The sequence below is a fragment of the Homo sapiens genome, chromosome 8 (genome assembly GCF_000001405.40).
Source record: "Homo sapiens chromosome 8, GRCh38.p14 Primary Assembly".
NCBI classification, from domain to species: domain Eukaryota; kingdom Metazoa; phylum Chordata; class Mammalia; order Primates; family Hominidae; genus Homo; species Homo sapiens.
Window position 1 is genome coordinate 66,907,303 of NC_000008.11, and position 20,435 is coordinate 66,927,737.

The following is a 20,435-nucleotide window of genomic DNA, read 5'->3' on the forward strand; positions in this document are numbered from 1 at the left end:
ACTTATGAATGAGAATATGTGGTGTTTGGTTTTATGTTCCTGTGTTAGTTGGCTGAGAATGATGGTTTCCAGCTTCATCCATGTCCCTGCAAAGGACATGCACTCATTTTTTATGGCTGCATAGTATTCCATGGTGTATATGTGCCACATTTTCTTTATCCAGTCTATCATTGATGGGCATTTGGGTTGGTTCCAAGTCTTTGCTATTGTAAATAGTGCTGCAATAAACATACGTGTGCATGTGTCTTTATAGTAGAATGATTTAAAATCCTTTGGGTATATACCCAGTAATGGGATTGCTGGGTCAAATGGTATTTCTGGTTCTAGATCCTTGAGGAATCGCCACACTGTCTTTCACAATGTTTGAACTAATTTACAGTCCCACCGACGGTGTAAAAGCGTTCCTGTTTCTCCACGGCCTCACCAGCATCTGTTGTTTCCTGGCTTTTTAATGATCACCATTCTAACTGTTGTGAGATGATATCTCATTGTGGTTTTGATTTGCATTTCTCTAATGACTAGTGATGATGAGCTTTTTTTCATATGTTTGTTGGCTGCATAAATGTCTTTTTTTTGAGAAGGGTCTGTTCATATCTTTTGTCCACTTTTTGATGGGGTTTTTTTTCTTGTAAATGTGTTTAAGTTCCTTGTAGATTCTGGATATTAGACCTTTGTCAGATGGAGAGATTGCAAAAATTTTCTCCGGTTCTGTAGGTTGCCTGTTCACTCTGATGATAGTTTCTTTTGCTGTGCAGAAGCTCTTTAGCTTAATTAGATCCCATTTGTCAATTTTGGCTTTTGTTGCAATTGCTTTTGGTGTTTTAGTCATGAAGTCTTTGCCCATGCCTGTGTCCTAAATGGTGTTGCCTAGGTTTTCTTCTAGGGTTTTTATGCTTTTAGGTTTTACATTTAAGCCTTTAATGCATCTTGAGTTAATTTTTGTATAAGGTGTAAGGAAGGGGTCCAGTTTCTGTTTTCTGTGTATGGCTAGCCAGTTTTCCCACTACCATTTGCTAAATAGGGAATCCTTTCCCCATTGCTTGTTTTTTGTCAGGTTTATTGAAGATTATCAATTTGCTTTATCTTTACATGCTTCTCCTAGTCTATGTTTAAGACCACATTTCATTAAGTCTAAGACACATTATTTTATGTGCTGTAAAGAAAAAATTCTGCCAATTTTACCATGCCATGCCATCAATTGTTAAGATACAACTGGAGTACGGTAATAAGATGAAAATATATGTCTTTGAATTGAAGAATTATAGTATTATTATATTAAGGACTCCTGTGATAGAATATGGTTGAGTTTTTTGTTTTGTTTTGTTTTTGAGACAGTCTCACTCCATCACCCAGGCTGGAGTGCAGTGGCACAATCTTGGCTCACTGCAACCTCCATCTCCTGGGTTCAAGTGATTCTCCTGCTTCAGCCTCCTGAGTAGCTGGAATTACAAGCATGCACCACCACACCCAGTTAATTTTTGTATTTTTAGTAGAGATGGGGTGTTGCCATGTTAGCCAGGCTGGTCTCAAACTGTCAAGACCTCAAGTGATCCACCTTCCTTGGCCTCCCAAAGTGCTGAGATTGCAGGTGTGAGCTACCACGCCCAGCCATATGGCTGAATATATTTACTTAGTGACTGACACAGTTAGGCTTTTTGTCCCCACCCAAATCTCATCTTGAATTGAAATCCCCATAATCCCCAAATGTCAAAGGAGAGACCAGGTGGAGGTAACTGAATCATGGGGGCAGTTTCCCCTATGCTATTCTCATGATAGTGAGTGAGTTCTCACAAATCTGATGGTTTTATAAGGGCTCTTCCCCCTTCGCTTGGCAGTTCTCCTTCCTGCTGCCTTGAAAGAAGGTGCCTTGCTTCCCCTTTACCTTCTGCCATGATTGTAAGTTTCCTGAGGCCTCCCCAGCCACGCTGAACTGTGAGTCAATTAAACCTCTTTCCTTTATAAATTACTCAGTCTCAGGCAGTTCTTTATAGCAGTATGAAAATAGATTAATACAGTAAATTGGTACTGCAGAGAGTGCGGTGCTGCTATAAAGATACCCAAAAATGTGGACTTGACTTTGTAACTTGACAACAGGCAGAGGGTGGAACAGTTTGGAGGGCTCAGAAGAAGATAGGAAGATGTGGGAGAGTTGGAACTTCCTAGAGACTTGTTGAATGTCTTTGACCAAAATGCTGATAGTGATATGGACAATGAAGTCCAGGCTGAGGTGGTCTCAGGTGGAGATGAGGAAGTTGTTTGGAACTGGAATAAAGGTGACTCTTGCTGTGCTTTACAAAGAGAAAGACTGGCGCCGTTTTGCTTCTGCCCTAGAGATCTGTGGAACTTTGAACTTGAGAGACATAATCAGAAATTGGAACTTACATTTAAAAGGGAAGCAGAACATTGAAGTTTGGAAATTTTGCAGCCTGATTATGCAGTAAAAAGGAGAAAACTCATTTTCTGGAGATAAATTCAAGCAGGGCAGAAATTTGCATAAGTAACAAGAGGCCAAATGTTAATCACCAAGACAATGGGGAAAATGTCTCCAGGGCATGTCAGAGGTCTTCACAGCAGCCCCTCCCCTCATAGTCCCAGAGGCCTAGGAGGAAAAATGGTTTTGTGGGCCAGGCCCAGGGCCTCCCTGCTTTGTGAAGTATCGGGACTTGGTGCCCTGCATCCCAGCCTTGGCTAAAAGGGGCTAACGTATAGCTCAGGCTGTTGCTTCAGAGGGTACAAGCCCCAAACCTTGGTGGCTTACACGTGGTGTTGGGCCTGCGGGTGCACAGAAGTCAAGAATTGAGGTTTAGGAACTTCTGCCTAGATTTCAGACAAAGTGTGGAAATGTGTGGATATCCCTGCAGAAGTTTGCTGCAGGGATGTAGCCCTCATGGAGAACCTCTGCTAGGGCAGTGAGGAAGGGAAATGTGGGGTTGGACCTCCCACACACATAGTCCCCACTGGGTACTCCCTAGTGTAGCTGTGAGAAGAGGGCTGCTGTCCTCCAGACCCCAGAATGGTAGATCCACCAACAGCTTGCACCATCACCTGGAAAAGCTGCAGACACTCAACACCAGCCTGTGAAAGCAGTGGGGAGAGGGGCTGTGCCCTACAAAGCCACGGGGGCAGAGCTGCCCAAAGCTGTGGGAGCCCCTCTCTTACATCAGCATTATCTGGATGTGACACATGGAGTCAAAGGAGATCATTTTGGAACTTTAAGATTTGACTGGCCAGCCACAGTGGCTCACATCTGTAATCCCAGTACTTTGGGAGGCTGAGGCGGGTGGATCACCTGAGGTCAGGAGTTGGAGACCAGCCTGGCCAACATGGTGAAACTCTGTCTCTACTAAAAATACAAAATTAGCCGGGCATGGTGGCGGGTGCCTACAATCCCAGCTACTTGGTAGGCTGAGGCTGGAGAATCGCTTGAACCCGGGAGACGGAGGTTGTAGTGAGATGAGATCATGCCATTGCACTCCAGCCTGGGCAACAAGAGCAAAACTCCATCTCAAAAAAAAAAAAAAATTACTGCCTCGCTGGATTTTGGACTTGCATGGGGCTTGCAGCCCCTTCATTTTGGCCAATTTCTTCTATTTAGAACAGGTGTATTTACCCAATGCCTGTACCCCTGTGGTATTTAGGAAGTAACTAACTTGCTTTTGATTTTACAGGCTCATAGGTGAAAAGGACTTGCCTTATCTCAGATGAGACTTTGGACTTGGACTTTTGGGTTAATGCTAGAATGAATTAAAACTCTGGGGGACTGTTGGGAAGGCATGATTGGATTTGAAATGTGAAAGGGACATGAGATTTGGGAGGGGTTGGGGTGGACTGATATGGTTAGGCTTTGTGTCCTCACCCAAACTTCATCTTGAATTGTAATCCCCATAATCCCTACATGTCAAGGGAGAGACCAAATGAAGGTAACTGAATCATGGGGGTGATGTTCTTGTGGTAGTGAGTGAGTTCTCATGAGATCCGATGGTTTTATAAGGGGCTCTTTCCCCTTCACTTGGCACTTCTCCTTCCTGCTGCCCTGTGAAGAAGGTGCCTTGCTTCCCCTTCACCTTCCACTATGACTGTAAGTGTCCTGTGGCCTCCTCAGCCATGCTGAACTGTGAGTCAATTAAACCTCTTTCCTTTATAAATTACCCAGTTTTGGGCAGTTCTTTATAGCAGTATGAAAATGGACTAGTACGGTGACTATTTTGTCAAGACTTTCTTGAAGTATTTACTGAGGGAGGCCGAGCGTGGTGGCTCACGCCTGTAATCCTAAAACTTTGGGGGTCCGAGGCAGGCAGATCACCCTAGATCAGGAGTTCAAGACCAGCCTGGCCAAGATGATGAAACCCTGTCTCTACTAAAAATACAAAAATTAGCTGGGTGTGGTGGCAGGTGCCTGTAATACCAGCTACTCAGGAGACTGAGGCAGAGAATTGCTTGAACCTGGGAGTCGGGGGTTGCAGTGAGCCGAGATTGCACCATTGCACTCCAGCCTGGGTGACTGGGCGAGACTCTGTCTCAAGAAAAAAAAAAAAAGGATTCCCTTCAAAAGATTACTGCTCATTGACAATGCACCTGGCCTCCCAAGAGCTCTAATGAAGATGTACAAGGACATGAATGTTGTTATTATGCCTGCTAACATGCATTCTGCAGCCCCTGGATCAAGAAGTAATTTCAACATTCAAGACTTGTTATTTTAGAAATACATTTCTTAAGTCCATCACTGTCATGATTCCTCTGATGGAGCTGGGCAAAGTCATTGAAAACCTTCTGGAAAAGATTTGCCATTCTAGATGTGATTAAGAACATTCATGATTTATGGGAGGAGGTTAAAATATCTACATTAACAGGAGTTTGGAAGAAGTTGATTCCAGCCCTCCTGGATGACTTGGAGGGGTTCAAGACTTCAGTGGAGGAAGTAACTGCAAATGTGGCGGCAACAGCAAGAGAACTAGAATTAGAAGTGGAACCTGAAGATGTGACTTAATTGCTATAGACTGATGATCAAACATGAACGGATGAGAAGTTGCTTCTTATGGATGTAAAGAAAGTGGTTTCTTGAGATGGAATCTATTCCTGGGGAAGATTCTGTGAACATTGTTGAAATGACAACAAAGGATTTAGAATAGTCCATAAACTTAGTTGATAAAGCAGTGGCAGTGTTTGAGAGGATTGCCTGCAATTTTGAAAGAAGTTCCACTGTGGGTAAATATGCTATCAAACAACATCACCCTAAAGCCCATCAATGACAGACTGGATAACAAAAATGTGGCACATATACACCATGGAATATTATGCAGCCATAAAAAAGAATGAGTTCATGTACTTTGCAGGGACATGGATGAAGCTGGAAATCATCATTCTCACCAAACTAACACAAGAACAGAAAACCAAACACCACATGTTCTCACTCATAAGTGGGAGTTGAACAATGAGAACACATGGACACAGGGAGGGGAACATCACACACCAGGGCCTGTTGGTGGGGAGAGCTAGCGGAGGGATAGCATTAAGAGAAATACCTAATGTAGGTGACGGGTTGATGGGTGCAGCAAACCACCATGGCACGTGTATACCTATGTTACAAACCTGCACGTTCTGCACATGTACCCCAGAACTTAAAGTGTAATAAAAAACATAAATAAAATAAAAATGACCAAAAAAAAAAACCAACATCACATGCTACAAAGAAATCTTTCATGAAAGGAAGAGTCAATTGATGTAGCAAACTTCATTGTTGTCTCATTTTAAGAAATTGTCACAGCCATCCCAACCTTCAACAAACAGTATGCTGATGTTGATCAATCAGCAGTCATCTACATGGAGACAAGACCTTCCACCAGCAAAAAGATTATGACTTCTGAAGGCAGAGGATGATTTTTAGCATTTTTTAGCAATAAAGCATTTTTAAATTAAGGTATGTTTGCATCTTATTTTTAGACATAATGCTATTGCACACTTAGACTACAATATAGGGTAAATATAACTTTTATGTACATTGGGAAAACAAATAATTGACGTGGCTTGCTTTATTGTGATATTCACTTTTTTGTGGTGATCTGGAACTGAACCTGCAATATCTCTGAGGTATGGCTGTATATATTAAAGTAAAACTGTAAAGGTAATTTGAGGTTAATTATAATTTGAGGATTGATGTATTAAAATTATAGTGTGTTATATGTTCTCATAATATGCCTCATAATTATCACTATTTGAACTAAATATTCGTGATCTTTTTTCCAATATGTGAGTCAATAAATATTTATTGAATGATAACTAGGTGCTAGGCACTAGTTACATAGTAGTGAAAAAAGTTGCAGTCTCTGCCCTGGTAGAACTTACAGCCTAGTGAGAGAATAGACATTAAAAAGTGAACACATGGGCCGGGCGCAGTGGTTCACGCCTATAATCCCAACACTTTGGGAGGCCGGGGCAGCGGATCACTTGAGGTCAGGAGTTTGAGACCAGCCTGGACAAATGGTGAAACCCCATCTCTACTAAAAATACAAAAATTAGCCGGGTGTGGTGGTGTGTGCCTATAGTCCCAACTACTTGGGAGGCTGAGGCAGGAGAATTGCTTGAACCTGGTGGGTGGAGGTTGCAGTGAGCCGAGATCGTACCACTGCCCTCCAGCCTGGGTGACAGAGCAAGACTCTGTCTAAAAAAAAAAAAAAAAAAAAAAAGTAAACACATGGTGGGGCATCATGGCTCATGCCTGTAATCCCAGCACTTTGGGAGGCCAAGGCAGGAGAATCACTTGAGCCCAGGAGTTCGAGACCAGCTTGGGCAACATGGTGAGACCTCCCATCTACACAGAAAAAAAATTTTTTAATAGATGGGTGTGATGGTGTATACCTGTAGTCCCAGCTACTCGATAAGCTGAGGTGGGAGGATGGCTTGAGCCCAGGAGGTCAAGGCTGCAATGAGCCATGATCATGCCACTGCACTTTAGCCTGGGCAACAGAGTAAGACCCTGTATCCAAAAAAAAAAAAAAAAAAAAACTAAAGACACTAATGAATATATAATACAAATTGAGATCGATGCTATGAAGAAAATCAACAGGATGTTATGAGAAAGAACAATGGAAGGGACTTACTTTGGATTTTAGGGAGACCTCTCTAAGGAAATGATATTTATTTAAGCAGATAGCTGAAGAATGAGAAGTCAAATTAGAGGGGAACCACATATGCAGGTGTTTTCAAAACACTGAAAGAGGGCCAGGGTGGCTAAAACATAGTAAGCCGAGTAAGCATCGTAGTTGAGGTTAGAGAGGAAAGTAAGACCAGACAGACCATGGTAGAAAATTGGGATTGTAATCCAAGTGCAATGAGGAACAGAGAACTAATGTGTTCAATTATATTTTTGAAATACCATGTTTGGAGTTGATATGGAGAATGGGTTGGAGGTATGGAGAATGGTTAAGAGCAGAAAGTGGGAGACCAGTTGTTGTAGTCCAGTTAGATGATAATGAGAGATTCAACTAGGTAGAGTCAGTAGAAATGGAAAGAAATTAGTGAATTAGAGATACACGTTAGATGCACAAACCAATAGGTTGTGCTCATGAACTAGATTTAAGAGTTGGGGGCAGCGGAAGGGAGGAGAGGGGGTAATTAAGGAAAACTCCCATGTTTCTGCCTTGAGTAGCTGGGTGGATAATCATGCCATTTATCAAGATTGGGGAGAAAGAAAGAAAAAGAGCTGGGAGAAAAATCAAATTATAGATATAACTTTGAGATATTCTATAGGCTGAGCACAGTGGCTCACATCTGTAATCCCAGCACTTTGGGAGGCCAAAGCGAAAGGATTGCTTGAGCCCAGGAGTTTGAAACCAACCTGGGCAACATAGCAAGACCCTAATTAAAAAAAATAAAATAAATGGCCAGGAGCGGTGGCTCACGCCAGCACTTTGGGAGGCCAAGGTGGGCAGATCACAAGGTCAGGAGTTCAAGACCAGCCTGGCCAACATGGTGAAACCCTGTCTCTACTAAAAAGACAAAAATTAGTTGGGCGTAGTGGCGCGCGTCTGTAATCCCAACTACTCGGGAGCCTGAGGCAGGAGAATCGCTTGAATCTGGGAGGCAGAGGTTGCAGTGAGCCAAGATCATGCCACTGCACTCCAGCCTAGGTGACAAAGCCAGACTCCGTCTCAAAAAAAAAAAAGTTTTATATATTTATATATATATTTATATATTTATATATGTTTTATATATTTATATATTTATATTTACATATATTTATATATATGTATATATGTATGATTTTTGTTCATTCCTACTTAAGCAGTGGAGGAAAAGTGTGAGTATATATATAACTTTTTTTTTAAAGGAGATATCCTACGGATATATCAATAGAGAGATAAAAGAATCTGGAGCTTAGAGAAAAGCTCTAACCTAGGAATATAATTTAGGGATCACCAGCATAGAGGTGGTACTCAAAGCCAAGGAATGGATGAAATCACCTAGATGGAGACTAGTGGGAACCCCAGGACTGCCCTTGAAGATTCCAATATTTATAAATGGGGTTGTGGAGGAGGAACTAACAAAGGAGGCTTAGAAGCAGCCTAGAATGTAGAAAGAAAATCAAGTGTTGTGTGATTTTCTTTCTAAGAATGAGAGTTTTTCCAGAAAGGGGCAGAGTGGTCAACTGAATCACATGCTACTGAGAGTTTGAGTAAGATTCAGTTTGGTAACCTAAAGGTTGTAGGTAGCCATGATCAGAGATATTTCAGTGGCGTGGGAATGGAGATGAGGCTATGGAGACAGCACACATAGACAAACTATGAAGATGAGGAAAGAAATGAGGGAATTGCTGGAGAAGGATGTGTGGTTCAGGAAGGAACTTTTTTTTTTTAAAGATAGAAGGTATAAAATCATATGATGTGCAGTAAAGAGTAAACTAGTAACACTATAGAAAGACAGGAAGATCAACAAGTGAAGTACAAAAAAGGTGAGAGGGGTTAGGATCCAGGGTACATGTATTGGCCATTTTACAGATGGGAAGAAAATGGATACAGAACCAAGTAGGTTTGTAAGTCTGGCCATATACTTTACTTGATGTCATCAGCTGAAAATGAAAGGTTTGAGGAGGAAAGAATGGAATATAATAGTTATTGTGGGGGCTAGAAGAGAAGTGTCCGAGGGAAACTCAGCAGGGTTGCCAGGCAGGTGATCGTTTGGAGTTACTGTGATTCACTTAAAGGGAAAAGAAGAAATGCCAGTTGTGTGATTTTCTGCCTAGCAGCCTTCGTGCCAGCACAAGATGAATGGTTGGGTTCGTGCAGAGTTGAGGTTTTGATAGGTGAGTGTGGCAGAGTGGTGCTGAGGGGCAAAGGAGTGGAGGGACTGGCTAAAGGGAGGGACTTTTAAGCTGGTTAAGGAAGGAAGTGAATTAGAGGAAGCAGACTGGGGGTCTCTGTAGACCTGAAACATTTGAGCAAGTGAACTGGAAGCATAGGAGGTAGAGTAGGGGAGTGGGTTGTGGTTTTGAAGTAAGTGGGAACTCAAGGTTTTGAAGTAAGTTTCTGGTGATACTAGTTTCCTATGACCGTGGGATGTATGGCTGAGGCGGAAGGGAAAGGTGGGACATCGCAAGGGAGTTAAATGGGTTATCCACATGAAAATCACTGAATGTCAGGTATTAGGGGAGAAAGGAAGATTTTGAGCAAAGTGCTAAGAGCTGCTGGTTGACTATAGAAGGAGAAGGATAGTAAAACCAGGTGGCACTGAGCATCAAAGGAGAAAGAATTTTTTACCAAAAGGGAAGCATGGGAAAGAATGGTCTGGAAGCAGCAGAGGGGCAGCAAGCTAGGCTCTGACTGTGTCTTGTGACACTATGTATATGGGATGTTTGGGGAAAAAAAGCTTCATTTTGGAGAGGCACAAGGAAAGCAGTGTTCTTAAGAGATAGTAAGCTTTCAGAGAAGATCAGGTAGGAAAGGAAGCAGTCAGAAGTCTGAGGCTGTTCTTATGAGGCTCTAGGAAGGTGGGCACTGCTTGGCACAGTTGCTAAACTGTACTCTTGGCCTGTCACATTAAGTACTTGTTCAATGAATTAATGAATAAAAGAGAAGAGCTTACCTCCTCATGGTCAATTTTTAAATTGAAGTAAAATATAAAATCTACTTATTTTAACCATTTTAAAATGTTCAGTTCAGTGTGTTTAGTACATTCACATTCACACTGTTGGGCAACCATCACCACCCTTCGTCGCCAGAGCTTTTTCATCTTCCCAAACTGAAACTGCGTACCCATTAAACAGTAATTCCTCGTTTCCTCCTCTACTCCTCCTGGGAGCCATCACTCTACTGCCTCTATGAATTTGACTATTCTAGGTACCTCATATAAGTGGAATCATACATTTGTCCTTTCATAACTGGCTTATTTCACTTAGCATAATGTTCTCAAGGTTCATCCATATTATGCATGTATTAGAATTTCCTTCCTTTTTAAGGCTGAATAACATCCTTTTGTATGTAAATAGAATGTTTCGTTTATCCATTCACCTGTCAATGGACATTTCTGTTGCTTCCACCTTTGTCTATTGTGAATTACACTGCTATGAACGTGGGTGTGCTAATATCTCTTTAAGATCCTGCTTTCAGTTCTTTTGGGTATATACCCAGAAGTGAAAGTGCTGTATCATACAGTAATTGTTTACTCTTTTTGATGAACCGCCATCCTGTTTTCCACAGTGGGTGCACCATTTTCCATTCCCAACAGTGCACAAAGCTTCTAATTTCTCCACATCCTCTCTAACACTTGTCATTTTGTTTTTTATTTTTATAATAAATCCTTATAGGTGTGAGGTAGTAGCTCATTGTAGTTTTGATTTGTATTTTCCTAGTGATTAGTGATGTTGAACATCTTTCTCATGTGCTTATTGGTCATTTGTTTTTCTTTAGAGAAACGATATTAGTTCTCCGCCTATTTTTTAATGATTATTTTCTTACTGTAGATTTATAGACCCCTTTATCAGAGATTTGATTTGCAAGTATTTTCTCCCATTCCATAGGTTGCCTTTTCACTGTTGATTGTATTGTTTTATGCAGTTTTAAATTTTGATATGGTCCCATTTATGTGTATTTTCTTTTGGTGCCTGTACTTTTGATGTCACATTCAGGAAATCATGGCCAAATCCAAAGTGAATCTGTCCTTTCCCCTAGAATGGTCTTGAAACCCTTCCATAGATTTATGTTGTCTGCCTTTATGTGAATGGTTTTAACAACTGAGAAATGTACTACAATGTCTTTATCTTTGATCGTCCACTTAGCCGTTATCAAATAAAGATTAGTATTTCTTACCTTCCAGTACCTTTTCTCCCTACTCCTGTCACCTCCTCACATCACTCATCAGCTTCAAAACTATAATGACTATTTCAGTAGAAGGCAAGTTTCTAGTTCCAAACTTTAAAATATAAACATCAACATACTTCTTCCATTGGCCCTGGTACCAATGCGTGTGCACTTACTGAACCTGCTTTCTGGGTTTCAGAAAACAAGAGTCAGATTTCAATAATGATTATTGAAATACTCTACTGAATAGGTCAGAACTTAATTTTTTGACTTTTATTTTTCACAGAACCACATGGGCTCAGACTTAATTTTTAAGATTCCATTAAAATATTTTGGTTGAAAATGTGATTTCATACTTGTCATTTTAAGGAGTATTTGTCATTTACACTCTATTATCTTCTTCATTTAGGGGCCACTGTATTTTGTGTTGCTCCGAATGCAGTATTTCCATTTGAACTGTATAATGAAGAATACTTAGAGCAAAGGGATCTCTATCTGACTCAGTGCCAACAACAGCTGGAACAATTTATTGCCACATATGGACCTGGGACAACTATTTTCTCTAGTGATGAATAAGCAATTTGAGGAATTTTTGTTCATTCCTACTTAAGCAGTGGAGAAAAAGTGTGACTATTTTGAGAGTGACTTTGAAGTAATGCTTTGATAATACTCTGTACAGGAATATATTACAATACTGTTTTTAAAAATATAAAATATAGTCCCCTCAAAACTAATTGCTAATGGGATAAATACTAATCCAAACCTCTAAAACCAACAGAATTTTAAAACTTAGAACAATGTGGACAATTTAAAGTGATAAAGTTGTCAAGGAGAATACTATAAAGAAAAACCTGGTTAGCCCAGAATACCAGTGGTGAACAGATAAAAATGTAAATGTTGCAATTTGAGCAGTGTGTAAAATGGCAACCTTTATGTAGTTCACTCTACTGTCACAAGATGGCAATAACTCTTTACCTACAAATTACTCTAAAACATTTTTCTTCCACTTGTGAACTTGCTAAACTGATGAGTAAATACTTTATATAACCCGAAGCTTCAAATGTAAGGCCTTTTCATACTTTATTACTGGCCTGTCCATTACATACTACTGTTTTAGAAGCCCTAAATATGGAATCGGGAAAAGCCTTGGAAGTTTTCCATACGTATACGCTAGGTTAAATGAAAAAAATACTTTACACGGAAACAAGGAGCCAATAACTTATAAATTGGCTCTCTAACCCTAACTGGTTACAAGAAAGGCTCCAAAAGGCAAAGAAACCAACTTGCAAATCTAGTCCTCATTTTTGGAGGGAAGATATCTGCTCTGAAAAGATAGGGGCACCATGAGAAAACAAATCCATCTTGTAAAATTTATAAATCCTTTTTAGTTCAGTTTCCATAACTTTAATAAAAGATCAGTTCTATTCACAGAAAAGCAAAATGTCATTACCAAATTGCCACTTTATTAACCAAGATGTTACCATGCATCAATTCTTTCAAAACTGGTCCCTTAACAGAGATGCTTAACTGTACAGCTGGACCTCTCCCACTCTCCACAGGACCCGGAGGAAGTTGTTCACTATTACTGAATACCTACTAGTAGCAGGGAGTAAACAGTATTAGTTTTCAGAAGCCAAAGGTAGTGTTTTTGTTTTTTGTTTTTTTGAGATGGGGTCTCGCTCTGTCATGCAGGCTGGAGTGCAGTGGTGTTATCTTGGCACTGCAACCTCCACCTCCCGGGTTCAAGTGATTCTCCTGCTGGGATTACAGGTGCACTCCACCATGACTGGCTAATTTTTGTATTTTTAGTAGAGACAGGGTTTCACCATGTTGGCCAGGCTGGTCTTGAACTCCCGACCTCAGGTGATCTGCCTGCCTCAGTCTCCCAAAGTGCTAAGACAACAGGTATGAGCCAACACGACTGGCGACTGTAGTTTTCAACAAAATACTTACATATTACAGTTCTATAATGTTAAGACGTTTATTTTGTGCTTCTCAAATACTACATTTCAAACATGTCTGGCTCTCTATGGGGGGAAGGCAAAACACATTCCTATTTTATAAAACTAGGATCCTTTTACAATTGGAAAGTTTAAAAACTTTTTTTTTTGGAGACAGGGGCTGTCACCGTTTGGAGGGTTGTGGCGCCACCTCAGCTCCCTGCAGCCTTGACCTTGCAAGTAATTCTCCCACCTTAGGCCTCCGAGTAGCTGGGACTACAGGGACATGCTACCACCCTGGGATAACTTCTGCATTTTTTGTAGAGATGGAATTTTGCCATGTTTCCCAGGCTGGTCTCAAGTCATCCTCCCATCTCAGTACCTCAGCTTCCCAGTGTTGGGATTACAGGAGTGAGCCACCATGCATGGCACAAAGATGGCTTTTATTTACTTATCTATATTTATATATACATATTTATATGTAGCTGTCACCCAAGCTGTAGTGTACTGATGCAATCATAGCTCACTGCCACCTTAATCTCCCCAGCTCAAAAAACCCAACCTCAGTCTCAAAGATGGTTACTTCACCACAAAAAAATTAAAATGTTTAAGTTTCTCATTAAAGAGTAGAAGTGTACATTCAGAAACAATTATGGGAGGTAATTCATTAATATTAAATATGCCAACGGTATTTTAAAGGTTATTGGAGAATTAGAAGGGGGTGGGGTGCAGGACGAAAAATTAATGGGTGCAATGTACACCATTCAGGTAATGGCTGCACAAAAAGCTCAGACTCCAAACTACTTCATATACCTATGCAACAGAACTGCACTTATACCCCCCAAATCTATACTGAGGGAAGTGACTAAGATGTTGCTATACAGGTTTTATACCATTTATCATATAAAAATTATAACCTTGGTAAAAGGAATTTATAAGCTAGTACTCAACAGGAGAAAAGATTTAGCTCTAAACCTTCACCCAGATATAAATTCAGCTTTAGAATTCTTGCCAATTTAGTCCTAGACAGACTGGTCTGCTCAGTCATTTCTCTTAACATAGCATATTGCTTAGTTATTACATGTACTAGTATTAGGATGACTTTTTTGTTCACAAAGATGAAAGCAAACTGAATAAAAAAGGTGAAACCTTTATCTGTAAGGGGGAATTTGATTGCTATTTGGTATTAAAGAGTTTTAAGATTCAACCACCTGGTACAACAGCAGGCTCTGAAGGGGAAGCCAGACAGGGAACCTAGAGGTACAAGCAATGTCTCCCCAGCTGTCAGCCTCAATGAGAATCACCACCCATAAATAAGCTAATTATTGACAAGATTATAATCTTTCGAATATGTTCAAAACAGGTCTGACTAGTGACTATGAGAATGGAGCTATTTAGAGTTGATTTAAAAGAAAACACTTTATTGTTCAGCAATTAAAAGTTAGCCAAATATGTATTTTTCTCCATAATTTATTGTGATGTTATCAACATCAAGTAAAATGCTCATTTTCATCATTTGCTTCTGTTCATGTTTTCTTGAACACGTCTTCAATTTTCCTTCCAAAATGCTGCATGCCACACCTCCAAAACAAAGTCAGAAACCACAGTGAAAATCATTCCATACTCAAAGTTCTCATATAACCTCAATATTCACAAGTGCCCCTCAAAAAACTAATGTTGAGAATACCACACATGCAAAAGCAACTTCAACAAGAATCTGCCCCCACCCTTAAGTTTATCAGATACTTTCTGAACTGTCAGCAGACATAGTTGCTTGACAAATCACTTACTTGAGGTAACGAAGCAGAAGTATTTTTAAACATGACAGCTAAGAACATTCATCTACAGCAACCTATATGCTAAAAACAAAGAATATTCACCCTTAATTAAATTATTGCCTTACATACATGTCAGTAATTAATCAATGTACAGTACTGGCATCTCAGTCTTAAAATTATTTCTTCAAAGACAACCTCAGCTGGGTAAACGGCAAAAAGTAATTTAAGTCATCATTGTGCCAGCTATTAAACCTATCTGTCAAGAATACATCACATAACTAACATTAATTAAATTTAGGTACCTCAATACATGCCGCGTGATCCTAGTAGTTTTTTCACAACCTTCTACAAGTTTTTGGAAAACATCTGTTATGATGACTTTCATACACCTTCACCTCAAAGGCTTTCTTGCACCTGGAAATTAAATATTACATTTCGAATTCCCATTTTTATTTGCATTTTGTTGGGCATCTTATATGTAGGAATGGTCCAAGAAGAGAATCTCATTCCTTTAGGAACTGTACTTGCAACCTACCTTTCAGACTCCCAAACCACTTTTTAATAAAAAAGTACTATTATTCTATTACCTGTTTCTGCTTTTTTGATAGTCAGTACTGACAAACCCAAACCTCTGTAACTGAGTATGTTTGTCTCATTAGTACCTAGTATTTCCACAAATGAGCTTATTCCAAACTGGAAACAGGAGCCATTAGCACTGGCAGGAAAATGGTGGAAACATTTCATGATATCCTTCACTGTGGCAGTTTTGATTTTAAGACATAATGGTCATAGTGAGTACACAGCCGTTGCTTTTCTGTCTCACAGCTCGACAAGGATGAGCTATGAGCCAGGTTAGATGTATAAAAACTAACGTGAAGACCTTCACCTAAAAACATTATAACGGCAAACCTAGCAGTTTCAGAGCAGGGATACCTATATTGGCATTTTTACTGGACACATTCCTGTAAAATTAAGTCCCAAGTTAACTAAAAACTGCAAAGAACATGGACTGGGGCAAAAAATCATGTCATACAGCAGCCCAGGAGAATAAATCATTGAGCCAGGCAGCAATACGAAATGATTTATGAAGACATACAAGGTTGGAGCTTGCAAAAACAATCATTTTCATGTGCTGAAATGCTGAAAATGTTTCACACAATCAGTATTAGGAATATAAACTACTGGTTTTGAATAATTCAAAAAAAATTAACTGAAACAAAAAAAGTTTCAGTTTAATATTATGATTCACAGGAACTACAGACAACTACATGCATAATCCTGTCTTTACAAAGCTTAAAAAATGGGCCGGACACGGTGTCTCCCGCCTGTAATCCTAGCACTTTGTGGGGTCGGGGCGGGTGGATCACCTGAGGTCAGGAGTTCTAGACCAGCCTGGCCAAACCCCATCTCCACTAAAAATACAATAATTAACTGGGCATGATGGTGGGTGCCTGTAATCCTAGCTACTCGGGAGGCTGAGGAAGGAGAATCGCTTGAACCTGGGAGATGGAGGTTGCAGTGTGCTGACATCGCGCCACTGCACTCCAGCCTGCACGACAGGAATGAGAATCCATCTCAAAAAAGCAACAAAAAACCCCACAAAGCTATCCACACCACCCCCCTCCCCCACAAAACCCAAAAGACTGATGGGCACAAAATTCCAAATGGTGGGTACCTATGAATAGGAAGCAGGGAAATGTAAACAATAGATACCCTAGTATTGGTAATATTATAGTTCTCAAATGTATCGGTGGATTCTTTTGTATTATGCTTCAGAACTTTCCTGCACTACCAATTTTATCAATTATTTAGTTTGAAAATTTTTAGAAGTCCCAGCACTTACCAGTGAAAACAGAATTCAAGCTACTGAAGCCTCAAAAATAATAATACCTAAAATATTTCAAGGATAAGCCATGACATTCGTCTTCTTGACAGTTAATGATTATTTCAGACGAAGCAATGCATTTCAAATTTGAAGAAAAAAAAAAACCTATACGAAGTCTCACTGATGAAATTTTAAAATTTGTTTCTATGGCCGGGCGCGGTAACTCACGCCTATAATCCCAGCACTTTGAGAGGCCTAGGCGGGTGGATCACGAGTGGTCAGGCTGGTCAGGAGTTCAAGACCAGCCTGGCCAGATGGTGAAACCCCGTCTCTACTAGAAATACAAAAATTAGCCGGGCGTGGTGGCAGGCGCCTGTAATCCCAGCTACTCGGGAGGCTGAGGCAGAGAACTGCTTGAACCCCGGGAGGTGGAGGATTCAGTGAGCCAAGATCGCGTCACTGCACTCCACCCTGGGCGACAGAACAGACTCTGGCTCAAAAAAAAAAAAAAAAAAGTTTCTGAATAGCTAACAGGTTTTCCCAGCCTCCCAGTTGCTGACCGGTTTCTTCTGTATTATGTCCAGAAATACACATCTCTATGTAAATACAAGCATCTCCGTGTGTAGCAGGCATTTAGCCTAAGGGCCTCCTATACTTGCACGTGTTGTTCTCCAACCTCCATGCCTTGACTTTAGCGCGTATTACGAAGGAAGGTCCAGGAACAAATACTGACTAGCTCTACGAATGGGTCGAGACTAGTAATGACTCAGTAAACTGCGCTCATTACAGTTTCAAAGCCACTCACAAAGTACGGTTAACTAAGGGTCGTCCTGACACCTAAGGGATAATCACCTTCCTATTTATAAAACGCTCCCTTTTAAGGAAAACAAGCTGCCTAAGAGCCTGAAACCGCCAAGGCCGCACGCACAACTTTGCTGGGGACACAAGAGAGATCTGGCCAAGACCGGGTGGAGCACGAAGCCTCCCGACGGTCCCTTGCAGGCACCTCCTTAAGTCAGAAGGCCCTTGCCCAGTTTCTGAGCAGAGGACAGCGAACCGGTGTTGACGGAGAAAGGTCAGCTAAGCCTTCCAGGTGGTTACTCACAAAACGCGACTGCGCAAATGGCTTGTGGGGAAAGCTCGTGGGCCTTGGGGGCACCGGGAGCGTAGCCTTTTGGCCTACGCAGCAGCCGCCCGCTCCGCTGCGCCCGGGGAAGGGACAGGGGCCGCGCTGGGCACCCATATGGCGGAGGAACCCGGCACGTAGAGGAGTTGGACCTAAGACCGCGATCACTCTCACCTCGCAGAGCCCAGCTACGGGCCCGCAGTCTCCGCCGCCGCCACCACACCGGCATGACTAACGGCTCTTCGCGCTTCTTCCTCCCTCGCCGGTCGCGCGGGAAAGGAAGAGCGACATCGGAAGACAGCTCTTAGGCACTCCGGTGGCCCCGCCTCTTCCGGTACGCGGCCCCGCCCCTCCGCGGGTGCGAAGGGGGGCTGAGTGCACCGGCTCTGGGGAGGGGGCGGAGGGGAGATGAGACCCGCACCTTAGCCCTCTTCCCTGGTTGCGCGGTGCGGCGACGCTGTGTGCCACACAGCAAGTTTATGTGGGGGCTTTGTGACTTCCCGCAGGGGCTTTTCAGGCTCAGGAGTAACTCTGCTAGAGCTAGTCAATGTTTAATTTACCAGTTTGCAGTGGATGCAAACGAGCAGAATATGCCCTAAAAGGCCGGGCGCGGTGGCTCAAGCCTGTAATCCCAGCCCTTTGGGAGGCCTAGGCGGGAGGATCACCCGATGTCAGGAGTTCGAGACCAGCCTGGCCAACATGGTGAAACCCCCATCTCTACTAAAAATACAAAAAAATTGGCCGATTGTGGTGACGCGTGCCTGTAGTCCCAGCTACCCGGAAGCTGAGGCACGAGAAATCGCTTGAACCCGGGCAGCGGAGGTTGCAGTGAGCCAAGATCGCGCCACTGCACTCTAGCCTGGGTAAGGCTCCGTCTCAAAACAAACAAACAAACCAAAAAACATATATATAGCATTCATAAAGCAGTTACCTACCTTGTTTATGAACATGTTATAATTTGCTGTTGATTTTCACGTCTTATTACTTCTGTTTTTCTCATTGTATTATAGAATCCTGACTGCAAAGCACTGGGCTTGATGCTGGAGCAGAAAGGCTTATGATCTTGTTGCCAGAAAGAATACACATGAAAGCATATGATTAAACAATCTACTCACTTAAAGATAGGTCATCTCTCCTTAATATTTTTGGCTTTTGTTTTGTTTTGAGGCGGAGTCTCTCTCTGTCGCCCAGGCTGGAGTGCAGTGGCTCGATTTCAGCTCACTGCAAGCTCCGCCTCCCGGGTTCACGCCATTCTTCTGCCTCAGCCTCTCGAGTAGCTGGGACTACAGACGCCCGCCACCACGCCCAGCTAATTTTGTTGTATTTTCAGTAGATCCGGGGTTTCACCGTGTTAGCCAGGATGGACTCCATCTCCTTACCTCGTGATCTGCCTGCCTCGGCCTCCCAAAGTGCTGGAATTACAGGTGTGAGCCACTGCGCCCGGCCAATTTGTTTTTGTGTTTTGGTTGGTTGGTTTTGTTTTTAGAGACAGGGTCTCCCTCTGTTGCTCAGCCTGGAGTGCAGTAGTGCAGTCATGGCTCATAGCAGCTTCCATCTTCTAGGATCCTCAAGAGATTCTCCCACCTCAGTCTTGAGTAGCTAAATGCTCACCACCATGCCCTGCTAATTTTTAAAACGTTTCGTAGAAATGCGGGGGTCTCACTATGTTGGCCAGGCTGGCCTCCAACTCCTGGCCTTAAGCTATCCTCTCGACTTGGCTTCTCAAAGTGCTGGGATTACAGGCATGAGCCACAGCGCCTGGCCAATCTCTCCTTTAGACACCGGAAATCTAAGAAACGAATACAAAATCCGGTACAAAATTTCAATTTGTCTCAAGTAACATAGAGTATGAATATCTAAGCCTAGTAAGCCTAGCAAAACAAATTGTGATTGTACCTCCTTTAACAAAGGATTGCAAAGTATTTTACAGGAGCTTAAAAATCTTTGCTTGGGCCTCCAAATGGAAGCCGTTTCTCCTGTTAAGTAGTGACATGGACCTCAACCTGCTTCTTGGACTAAGATTCCTGGCTGGATGTTGCTTCCACAACCTAATTTTGCAACCTGGGCTGTCACCTCCAGTGTGAAGGGGAAGCTGTGGGAGCCACCATTACTAAAAGGTATAAGTGAGAGTTAGTTTGGACATTAAATCCATAGATGCTAAGGCAACAATTTAGGCAAGTTCTTGGTGTCACTGAGTGCAGGGCCATATGATAACTGGAGGCAAACATGGACAATTCCCCTGCCATGGTTCCAGAGAGGATAGCTCCTGCGTTGCTAACAGCTTTGTGTTGTCTCCTGCAGGCATTCACAGGGCATTCATTGACCTCTACTGGGAAGAAATAGCTGAGCCGGGTGGACAGATTAGGAAGGGGCCACTGCCTTATTGACTTACTATGTTCTTTCTTCAGAAAGGATATAATTAAATATCTTGACTAAAATTTAGATGTTGCCAAAACTGTGCAGCCACCCATTTCA

General features: G+C 42.0%; 1 protein-coding gene, 1 long non-coding RNA gene and 1 other non-coding gene across 12 annotated transcripts in view, besides 2 other annotated features; 1 reads left to right on the forward strand and 2 right to left on the reverse strand.

The window, feature by feature from the left end:
- Positions 1 to 19,080, forward strand: part of MCMDC2 (minichromosome maintenance domain containing 2) — a 55,612-nt gene extending 36,532 nt beyond the window's left edge. For 5 of the 7 annotated variants that reach the window (XM_006716427.4, XM_005251174.3, NM_173518.5 and 2 more), the window contains one exon: positions 11,701 to 14,746. In XM_006716427.4, coding sequence (XP_006716490.1) covers positions 11,701 to 11,867 — 167 coding nt within the window. In that variant the 3' untranslated portion in view covers positions 11,868 to 14,746. Of the gene's footprint in view, positions 1 to 5,752; positions 6,217 to 11,700; positions 14,747 to 18,970 lie in introns of those variants that run through there. The other 2 variants (XM_011517469.3, XM_011517467.4) reach the window with 2 other exon arrangements.
- On the reverse strand, positions 14,388 to 18,239 carry SNHG6 (small nucleolar RNA host gene 6). 4 transcript variants are annotated; one of them, NR_152600.1, is made up of 4 exons: positions 18,135 to 18,239; positions 15,312 to 15,423; positions 15,022 to 15,083; positions 14,388 to 14,812 (listed from the first exon to the last, which is right to left on the reverse strand). It is a non-coding gene; the product is annotated as a small nucleolar RNA host gene 6 (long non-coding RNA). The 4 variants fall into 4 exon arrangements; NR_002599.2 differs by having other exon boundaries at positions 15,022 to 15,090; NR_152599.1 differs by lacking the exon at positions 15,312 to 15,423 and having other exon boundaries at positions 15,022 to 15,090.
- SNORD87 (small nucleolar RNA, C/D box 87) lies at positions 15,172 to 15,247 on the reverse strand. Its single transcript, NR_002598.1, has one exon. It is a non-coding gene; the product is annotated as a small nucleolar RNA, C/D box 87 (small nucleolar RNA).
- Positions 18,019 to 19,218: an enhancer, noted in NCBI's record as "BRD4-independent group 4 enhancer chr8:67837556-67838755 (GRCh37/hg19 assembly coordinates)". NCBI's record gives its function as "activates an origin of replication core promoter dependent on BRD2, P300/CBP, MED14 and CDK7 cofactors, and independent of BRD4, by STARR-seq in HCT116 cells {active_cell/tissue: HCT116}" and the evidence as "EXISTENCE:reporter gene assay evidence [ECO:0000049][PMID:35650434]".
- Positions 18,211 to 18,410: a silencer, noted in NCBI's record as "silent region_19258". NCBI's record gives its function as "represses an Ori minimal core promoter by ATAC-STARR-seq in GM12878 lymphoblastoid cells {active_cell/tissue: GM12878}" and the evidence as "EXISTENCE:reporter gene assay evidence [ECO:0000049][PMID:35858748]".